Source organism: Homo sapiens, chromosome 6 (assembly GCF_000001405.40).
Source record: "Homo sapiens chromosome 6, GRCh38.p14 Primary Assembly".
NCBI classification, from domain to species: Eukaryota; Metazoa; Chordata; class Mammalia; order Primates; family Hominidae; genus Homo; species Homo sapiens.
The window spans coordinates 135,795,975-135,807,061 of NC_000006.12; the positions used below are offsets into that span (position 1 = coordinate 135,795,975).

The 11,087-nt window shown below is 36.2% G+C and overlaps 1 long non-coding RNA gene across 1 annotated transcript; it reads right to left on the reverse strand.

Annotated features, from left to right (window-relative positions):
* Positions 1–424: 424 nt before the first annotated feature.
* LOC105378012 (uncharacterized) lies at positions 425–10,197 on the reverse strand. The gene is made up of 3 exons (XR_943034.3): positions 8,654–10,197; positions 6,590–6,784; positions 425–615 (listed from the first exon to the last, which is right to left on the reverse strand). It is a non-coding gene; the product is annotated as an uncharacterized LOC105378012 (long non-coding RNA).
* Positions 10,198–11,087: the final 890 nt, after the last annotated feature.

The window sequence follows — 11,087 nt, forward strand, 5'->3', positions numbered from 1 at the left end:
ATTTATTTTTAAATATCAAATTTATAGCCAGAAATTTGGGTTTTGGTTTGCTGTGCTTACCTGTCCTGAATTATAGTAGAAGCAAAATAAAATATTAGCATGTTTTAACCTATTTATTTGTTCTCTCAAAATAACATATTTTGAAGAACATCTATCACCCTGCTAACTAATGCTTAATTATTCATTAATAAAAATTCTTTATAACTTGAACTTTGTTGACTAATTATTCGGACTACGAAACTCCACCAAATATTCTCATTAATGTAACTCATGTTTTGGATGTAATAAAAATAGTGAATTCTGTAATTATCCCAGGTGCTATTAACATTTGTTGAACATGCAGAGCAAGGGGACTACAGACTTCTGCCAACACAAAGACAAGAGAAATTTGCTTTAGCAAATTTGCCTTCTATTTCTTTATTCAATCTGATTGAGTATGGTAGCAAGACAAAGACTTTTTTTCTGTTTCTGGTGAATTAATTGCATTGTTAGTGTTTCAGAACCATATGAAACAATTTCCCTTTAAATTAATATAAACGAGAAAATGTACCACAGTCTCTTTGTATCTTTTGTTGTTTCTCCTTTAGAGCCCAATGTTTCATGGCAGTCGAGTTTCTGGAATTATAAAAAGTATAAAATTATTTTAAAAACAGTAAAAAAGATTGTGTATACAAAAATAATTCTTCTAAACCCATTAAAAATAGAATTACCTTTCTCTCAGAACTAATAAGCAAATAAAACTAGCTGAGATTACAATCACTCGATGTAAAAATTCTAATCTTACATGATTCGAAGACAAATATTTTTCCCAAAGGCATAACAATAAGCATATCCAAATGTTCTTTCCAGCAGAGAAGAATGAAATAAAGCTACACTCTATAAACTTCAGTGCACGATGTGTCAACTCAAGGATTAGTGTGTATTTCAGAAAATAATATTGAAATTCGTGTTTTTATTACTTAGAAAAATTCACTTCTGTAAGTCAAATTTATTCATATCTTTTTATTTGTTTACTAAACGCTAAAAGACTTCACATTAACATCATCACAAATATTTAGCCAAGAATGCCAGCTGTTGATTATGGGCCTATGACAGAGGACTTGGCATATTTCCAATCAGATGCTTCTACTGTATCCCAAACAGAGCATTTTAAAATACAGTGCTTCTCTGCTAACGGATGTTAAATTTTCAAATGAGCATATTTGGGAGAATGCATCTACGTATTGACACAAAACCACCAGACATGGGCATTGACATACAGCTGAGAGGCAAGGACATCTCCTAATGATATGGCACTGCCAAAAGCCAGAGAAGATGGGAGTCTCACACATACAAACTCTCATATATTCATGTCCAGAACAGTGATAGCTCGTATTTCTCAGTATTTGCCCTGTCTAGCTAAGTGATTTATATTGACTAGCTCATTTAATCCTTTGAGGCAGGAACTATTCTTCTCACCATTTTAGAGATGAAAAAACTGATGGCACAGAGATGTCACATTATTTGTCCAAGTTCCCAAAGCCATTTTAACTTCTAAGCCCACACTTTAAATCACTATGCTATGAAGTGCTATCTCACACACACTGGAATTCAGACACAGGGAAAAAAGATCCCAGTGAGACAATTGCAGCATCAGATTAGGCATATGGTACTTCGAGAGTGCCTTGTCTAGCATGAAGTCAGAAAACAAGTTGAGTGGCCTTTATCGCTCTGAGTCTTCCGTCTTTTGTTTAAGCATCACTGTGCCCAGAGTTGGCATTTATCATATGGCTACATTTAACTAAATAAAAATATCATCCTTTTTCAACATATGAAAATCCCCAAACTTCAAAGTTGACTCCAAAATGTGCTTGTTTTTAAAAATTGGCACTCAAGTATTTAGGGATAAAGGCTCTTTATGTCGGCAACTTATTCTCAAACAAGTCAGAAAAATCACTCATACACACACACACACACACACACACACACACACACACACAAAGAAAATCTGATAAAATATTAATTTGGGAATCTAAATGAAAGTATAGGATAATTCTTTGTGCTGTATTTGTACTTTTTCTGTAAAGTCTAAAATTAAAAAGCTGCCTGGAGATTCGAATAGTCAAAAAAAATTTATTGAGAAACAGCAATAGGAAAATTAAGGATACAAATATATCCAGATTGGCATGTCCAAAATAAAACATTACTCATTTTTTTCCGGCACATGTAGAAGACTGCTTAACACCCCCTATCTTTTTTGCAATATAGACTAGAAGAGAAATTAAGACCTAGATTATGTTTTCCTTTCTACCTAAGGCCTCTATTTCGGTTCTAGCTTTCTATTTGTGGGGTTTTTTCCCCTTCTAGGTCACACAATCTCCTTTCTACAAGACTGAGTTGCATTTGAAAGTTTTAACAGATAAACAAATTAGAATGCAATAAAATAGCCCTAATATCCACAAAAGAAATATAATAGATTCACCTTTCTACATTGAGGCTAAAATTGAATTTCAAGGCATTAGGTGAATTAGTGTATAGCCAAAACTATCCTAGAATAACCTTTACATAGCCCATCAAGTAGGGGATCATTGTTTTGTATAGTAATGATTATGCACAGTAAATTTTGACAACCGCTAACCTGAACAAAAGGAACAAAATAAAAACTTACATGCAAATGTCTAAGCATTCAAATGATTTTGCTTTTAAGATAATTATCAAATCCTCAGCAGTATAAGGTGAGGAATAGGGGGGCAGTGAGAAGAAAATTTTAAGTGATTTTGCTTGATGTAAACTTTATTCCATTTGGTTTCATGTTAACATAATATATGTAAGTAGATTTGTTTGTCAGGGTTAAATAAGAGTACAGAGATAAATTTTGCTTCCAGCCATGAGGAAGGAACTCACATCATGGTAGGCCTTCTGTCACAAGCCATTGTAAAAGAGGACAAAATGTGTGAAATCACTGCTTTTAGACATTCAGCAAAAGACACCACGTGACTATGATCCCTGAAAGAAGGGCAAAAACATGAGATGAGTCCTGTAATTGTACCAGCTTTCTGCCTGGTGTCACTTCCTAGGCTGTGGTTCAGAGATGGTGCCCAAACCAACACAGCGGTGCCACATAGCAGAGGAGACAGAGATTAGAATTCAGGGCCAGTGAGGTGACTGGAATTTGTATTGCAGGATCAAGAGAGAAGCGAGCTGAGCAGAGGAGGAGTTCCAAAAATCTGCATAGAGGTCCCTTTGAGTCTTTGAATAGCAAGCTGTTTATATTCAGATTGAAACTCTCTGAGGCAGGACAAAGTATAACTATTAGGAAGAGAACAAACACAGGAGAACTGTGAGTTGAGCTCTCAGAGCTAGACAGAGTGTGGAGATATTTGCATTCTGACTTGCCAAAGTGAAAGCACCTTACTAAACACTGTAGGTACAATATTGCTATAGTTTGGAGCTTTGTCCCCTCCAAACCTCATGTTAAAATTTGATCCTCAATGTTGGAGGTGGGGCCTAATGGGAAGTGTTTGGATCGTGGGGGCTGATCTCCACTAAATAGATTAATGCCTTCCCTGGGGGCAAGGTGAGTGAGTTCTAATTCTATTAGTTCCCTGTGAGAGCTGCTTATTAAAAAGAGCCTGGCACCTCCCTCCTCTCTCTCTCTCTCTTGCTTCCTCTCTCACCGTGTGATATCTGCACATGCCAGCTCCCCTTCACCTTCTGCCATTAATGGAAGCAGCCTGAGACTTTCATCAGATACTAAATCTTCCAGCCAGCAGAATTATGATCCAAATAAACCTTTTTTCTTTACAAATACCTAGTTCCTAGTATTCATTTATAACAACACAAATGAACTAAGACAAGCGACACAAATGGACTAAGACAAGTAGAAACTCCACACAGGCCATACCTTAGAAGTAGGGCTAATCTAGTCCTACAAGAAAGGTTATTCTTGACCTACCTTAACAACAAGACTTGAAAGTATCAAGCTCATCTACAGGTAAGTTAACTGCCTATGGGAAAAAAACTTAACACTCTTATTAAGGAAGATGATAGAAATCCAGTCAACAATGAAGTATCCATAATGTTTAATGTATAATTTTAAAATGACCAGTCATGCAAAGAAGCAGGAAAACATGATCCATTGCCAGAATAATAGTCAGTCACTCAACAAGAACAGACCCAGAAATGACACAGATAATGAAATTAATAGACTTGTCTTTAAAATAACTACTATAAAAATATTCAGGAATTTAAAGAGAGAAGACAACGAAAAATAGAAAATCTCAACTGGGAAACAAACTATAATAAGAAATACTAGAGATAACCAGAAATTTAAAATTCACCAAATAAGCTTATCAGCAGATTAAATACTGCAGAAAAAACTATCAGTAAACTTGAAAATAGAGCAATTTGGAAATTACCCAAACTGAAGCACAGAAAGAAAAAACAGCTGAAAAATAGTAATGGATTATCAGTAACTTATGGTAGAATTGCAAGCAGATTTAAGAAGTTAAACAATGCCTAAGCAGGAATAACACAAAGAAGACCATACCAGGGCCTATTAATTAGGGTTCCATCAGGTAAGTGGAACGACTATAAGTGATGTACAGTCAGGGATTTATTTTGAGGATTAGACCTTAGGCAATTGTAGAAGCTTCTTAAGTGGTCTATATAAGGCTATCAACTCTGTGCTAACATTAGGCCTGAAGTCAGCAAGGAAATATAGACATTAATTAAGGGGGATCCAAGAGTGAACCCTGAGGGAACTTGTGGGGGAAAAGTGAAATCTATAAGGCAAAACTAGAACCCACGAGAACAAATAGGAACATGTATTTGTCCCACTCCCTCCAATCTTGATAATGTAAGTGAACTGAAAACAAAGCTGGCACTCTTCCCTGTGAAACTATACATGACTTGGCCTGGGATTCAAAGATCTAACAAAGTATTTCTGGTTAGAAAAACTAAGCCCAGGTTTTGCTCCCCATTACCAGTGAGGTAAACCAGTAGATCAGTAACAGTATGCATGAGCTACAATAGTACCTCACCCCGTGCCAACCTTCACAGTGTTAAAGACCAGCTGTTACTTCACTTCTACCTTCCCAATCTCACACAAGTTTCTGTTGTGACCCATCATAAACTGGAATGATACAGTGAAAGGATTCCTGAGAAACATTCCAGTTTAGCTATACTGAACTGTTGCCACAGTCCACCCCCTTACAACTTGGCACTCCCATATACACCTTTCAACAATACTTAACTTCTAAATGAAGACAATAGTAAAATTATCTTTTTACATAGCACAATACTGATATATACTAAAATACTGATATATAACTAAAAACATGCTAAAACTCTCTGAAAAGATGATACAAAATCCCTTTATTCAATTTTGGTTAATGTTTATTTTTCTTCTAATCGAATCACACTCCCCCTAAGATATATTATAACTTAAATACTGAAATATAAGCTCAGTTACTATTAATACTTCCTATGTTATATGTTAGGGAGATGGAGGGAGGGAAAAGATAGTTGGATGGAGAAAAAAATGTATAAATATCTTCATATAAAAATAAGAAAGAAATTCTCAAATATTATGGTGTTCATTTCTGCAGCTGGTGACATGATTTCAGTTAATATTTGTTACTTCAGTCTTCTACTACCCACTCCTATTCCCTTTGTCTTCAGTAAGCACTTTGCCTGGTCATAATTCTTTGCCTAATGGGGTAAAACAAGCCTTCATCCCTGAAGTGAGATAAACTGCTAATGGCCCAGCCATTTGCAGTTTTGCTGTAGTTTTTCTTTGACTCTTATCACAGAGCATGGAAGTATTAAGATGTGTCCCAAGATATTTTGTGAATTACAAACACATTCCTCCTTACCACCATAGTGCAGTCAAAACTTAATTTCCTCTTGATGGTCAAAATCAGTCATTGCAGTCAGTATAACCTCCCCTTCTCTGCCCATTGATTTACCACCATGAGAATCCCTAAGTGGTCATATGACAGCGTCAAATTTTCATGTAATAGAACCATTGCTATGTCCCCTGGTGGAAGCATTCCTCTCTTGAGAACTAAGACCTCTAGACAAGATGAGCCAAGGTTGCATAGATAAGAAGCAATAATTTTGTTAGTAATGGATTAGGGGTAAGCAAGGAGATAAGCCATTCACTTTCATTTCCACTTCTTGATTCCCAGATCTGTGTAATGAGAGAAAAACACTACAAATTGGACACAGATTCAGAGCATATGCTCTATTTTGGATGACATTACTCAAGCCCTACAAAGTGTTGCCATGCATCTGGCACCATAATTTAGTCTTCAAAAGGCCATTCTATCAGGCCAGCTGCTTCAGAGTGATGGAGAACATAATAATACAAGTGACGTCCATGTTCACAAGGCCATTGCTGCATTTTGTTAGCTGTAGAATGAGTTTCCTGGTTAGAAGCAATGCTGTGTGGAATATCATGTTGGTGAATAGGGCATTTTATAAATCCACAGAGGGTGATTTTGGCAGAAGCATTGTAGGCAGAAAAGGCAAATGTATATCTAGAATGAGTTTCCATTGCAATGAGAACAAAGCATTCCCCCTTTTATGTTAGAAATAATTAACCTACTTGCTACCAAGTCACAAGCTGGTCCTCCTGGGGGCTCAGTATCCATCTCAGGTAGCAGGTTGGGCACTCAGCAGTGGCAGTTGTCAGATCAGCTTTGATGAGTGGAAGTGAACATTGCTTAGCCCATGCATAGCTTCCTTCGCTGCTGCCCATGACCACTTTGTTTATGAGCCAATCGGACAAAGATAGATGTAGCTGCAGAAACAAGTTCATTTATATCCATAGAATGGACCACTATGCCCACTTATTCATCTGAAGTGGCTCTTTGGTGAGCCTTGATATCGGACACAAATATCTTCATGATCTATGCCTGATGTGATCTATGCCAAGATTCACATACATCTTTCCAGACCTCATTATCACCAAGTCACCAGTCATGTTCCTTTTAATTGAGAATCATTCAGCCAAACTCTTAGCCACACCGTTTAAACTAGTGGATATCTGACCATATCTCTTCCTCCAGATAAAACTTTACCCAAGGATTACAACAGGCAAAAATATATTTTTTTGTGTTTTAATCAGTGCTATAAAACCAGGAAATAAAATAAATTAAAAACATAAATGTTGGAAAGAAAAAAAGTATACTGTCTTTATTCAAACATAACATGGTTGTGTATGGTAAAAACTATAATTATCTAAAAAATATACTACTAGAGCTCATACATGATTTTAACAATGCCACAGACATAGGTTAACATTAAAATAACCATTGAATTTCTATACACTAGCAAAGAATGGGAAAACTAAATAAAAAATCCAATACAATTTAAAATAGTATCAATGGACACAAAATACTTGGAAAACTTAAATAAAATATGTCTAAGATCTGTATGCTGAGAATAAAAAACATTGCTGGAAGAAATTAAAGAATATTTAAATAAATAGAAATATATACCATTTTCATGGATTTGAAGACTCAATATTTTTAAGATGCATTTTTTTTTTCTAAATTGATCTGTAGAGTCAAAGTATTCCCAAACAAAATCTTAGGTGTATTTTTATTTTGGTAGAAATTGACAAGATGTTTTTAACATGTATATGAAAAGACCAAGGCTGGGCACAGTGGCTCATGCCAGTATTCCCAGCACTTTGGGAGGCTGAGGCAGGTGGATCACCTGAGGTCAGGAGTTCAAGACAAGCCTGGCCAACATGGCAAAACCCCAACTCTACTAAAAGTACAAAAAAATATTAGCCGGGCATGGTAGCCCGTGCCTGTAATCCCAGCTACTTGGGAGGCTGAGGCAAGAGAATCGCTTGAACCTGGGAGGTGGAGATTGCAGTGAGCCAAGATCATGCCACTGCGCTCCAGCCTGGGTAACAGAGTGAGACTCTATCTCAAAAAAAGAAAGAAAAGAAAAGACCGACTACTCAGAATAGCCAAAATTATCTTGAAATAGAAAAATACTTTGTAGTACTTATATCACTTGATTTCAAAACTTATTAAAATCAAGATGGCATGATATGATGTAAAGATAGATTAATAGTTTAACAAAAACGTTAGTGAGTCCAGAAACTGAACCACATTTACCCAGTCACTTGATCATTTTTTAAATGAGTCATCAACATAAGTTAATAGGGGGAAGAAAAGTCTTTTTGACAAAAGGTTCTGTAAAAAATGACTACTTATAAGAAAAAAGTTGCGCCTCAAACTCTGCACCATTCATAAAAATTAATTCAAGAAAGATCATAGTCCTGAATGTAAAAGATAAAATTCTAAAACCTCTTGAAGAAAACATAGCAGATTATTTTTGCAACCCTGTGAGAGACAATCCGAGGCCCTGAACTGTGGGTTTCCATGTCTGTTTTTGCATTGCCCAATTTTAGCAAAAATTCTGTCAAATTTGTTTAACCAGAATCTCTCACCCTTCATATCTGATCATTGTCAATATTTGACCAAATTCCTTATCTCCCACCACCTCCCAGATGATATCTGATTACTCTGCCCTGACTTCAGCAAGAATCCTGTTAAGCTGATTTAACCAGAATCCCTTCTTACTCCTCATGTTTCCTCTTAGTAATTTTCCATCCACTGCCCCAACTTGCTTCTTGTCTATAAATGCTCACTTGTCTTTGCTGGACTTTCAGAGTCTGGAAGTCCAAGATCAAGTTGTGAGCAGGATTGGTTTAGGGGCTGGACATGGAGAATGTGCCAGTACAGTGGTCTCTGATGTCCCTTTTTATAAGGACACTAATCCTGTTTGATGAGAGCCTGTCACCATTATGACCTCGCTTAACCTTAATTTCTTCCTTAGAGGTCTCATCTCCAAACAACCACACAGGGGATTAGGGCTTCAACATATGAATTTTGGGGAGATACAAACATTTTGTCCATAGCAGTCATAAAAATGTCAGTTTGGATTAACTCTAAAATAAATAATGCATTGTTTTACTTAGTAAGAAAGAACCAATCTCTGATTCTCAAAGCTTGGGTTCTCATCAGCAACCGAGGCCATTGAGTCAAATAGAAATAATTACACATTCAAGATGTTATCTAAATATGATACAAATTGAATATTAGCGTAACCTACTGACAGAAGCTTGCCTTGTTAACAGTACTTACTTACAAAAAAAAAATTTGAGTGTCTTCTATGCAATACCCAATATATTAGGAACTGTTATTAAATGAGGTATAATGATATGATAACAACAAGCCATATGGTTACAGACATACTTCACTAGCTGTTCTGCAGGATGAGCATGAACAGTAGCGTTGTATAAACAATTTAGCATTGCCAAAATGAAGTAGTGATTTGAAGTGATTGTATGGATATATCAAAATAAAACTTGCTAAATGGAGTAAGACAGGTTTTAGCATGAATTAACGACATAATTATTTCAGCTTATACTTTAGCTACCAAGTCCTGGCATAGGTGTAATAGGATAGAGTGCTAGGAAGCACAAGCCTCTAAAAGTGAGAACTCAGATGTTCAAACACAGAAACCCAACAAGCCTGAAAAATATTGCCCTACGAGAAATTAGAACTCCAAAGAGTTGCTTTCCAAAGTTAAAATTTCTGTGGTACAACATTTTCATTCTCATGAAAATGATAACTTCTTAGAATGGATACCAAAAAATAGCAACTGGGCACAGCTGGATGGCTGCCTGGTCTTTAGTGCAAGAGTCCTGATGTTTTTCAGACAAGAGGCCAGTTGTTATTGAGTTTCAGAGAGAAAGAATTATTTAGTGCAGGTATACTCCTTACCCATTTGTGTATATGCACGTTTTATGTATAGCTCTGTTCTATAACTGAGAGCTTATGACAGAGAGTCATAAGTCTCTTGAAGAAGCAGGAAGAAGAAATGATAAAAGGGAAGCCAAGGAAAGCCCTGCCTGACAAATAGAACACCTGTCAGGTCAACGTTCCATGGGATCTAACAGTACACACTGGTGCAGGCCCAATTAGCTAGGCAAATGATTTAGGTATTAAAGGGACATAAGTCATGAGAACAGAGTGTTGGTCAAAGTCAAGTTTAAAAAGTGAGACTTTCCTTCACTAATGAAATATTTCCTAATAAATTTCCTAATAAAATATTTCCTAATGAAAAAGGTAAAGGGTATTAAGAATCTTTGTTTTTATTTATTTATGTATTAGAGACAGGGTCTCACTCTGTCACCTAGGCTGCAGTGTAGTGGTGCAATCACAGCTCACTGCAGCCTCAAACTCCTGGGCTCAAGCAATCTTCCTGCCTCAGTCTCCCAAGTAGCTAGGATTACAGGCACACATTAGCACTCCTGGTTAATTTATTTATTAATTTTTTTTTTTTTTTTGCAAGTACAGGGTCTACTTATGTTGCCCAGGCTGGTCTTAAACTCCTGGCCTCAAGCAAGCCTCCTGCCTTGGCCTTCAAAAGCACTGGAATTACAGCCATAAGTCACTACACCCAGTCAAGAATCTTTTCAAACTGATACCCGTTACAAGGAATTTTAACCACTTGGACTGCCAGTCTGATAAAACTTCTGTAACAGCACTAGCATGTGAATTTTTGTTTGTTTTTTAAACAGAGCTTTAGTTACGTAGATCTGAAGGAACGAGATCTGTAGAAAAGCCATTTGATCCAGCACTCAAATAACAGTTCTTGACGGAAAGAATGAAGTTCTAAACTATAATTATTAGCCAAAATGTCATTATACATTTTAAAAATCCCATCTTTCCAGACAAAATAGTTGGAAAAAAAGAAATGAATCCAATAAAGCATTGTCTCTAAAAAATTCATTGGTACTGCTAGCATGATTTTTAACATAATTCATTTAAGATTTTATAATAGGTAAACTGGACATAGGAATGCTGCCATGTTTATAGGCCGCTCAATAGGAAAGATGAAACTCATCAACAAAGGCAGACATATTGCAGCCACCTAACCTTGTCTGCCACATAATAGTTTCCCTATAAAGATTTGTTGATGCATTGACTGCTTGGTTTAAAGGCCCTAATAGTACAGCATTAATTTCTTATGAAGTACTTTCTAATATCTTGCATTTAAGTTTTAAGTGTAACCTT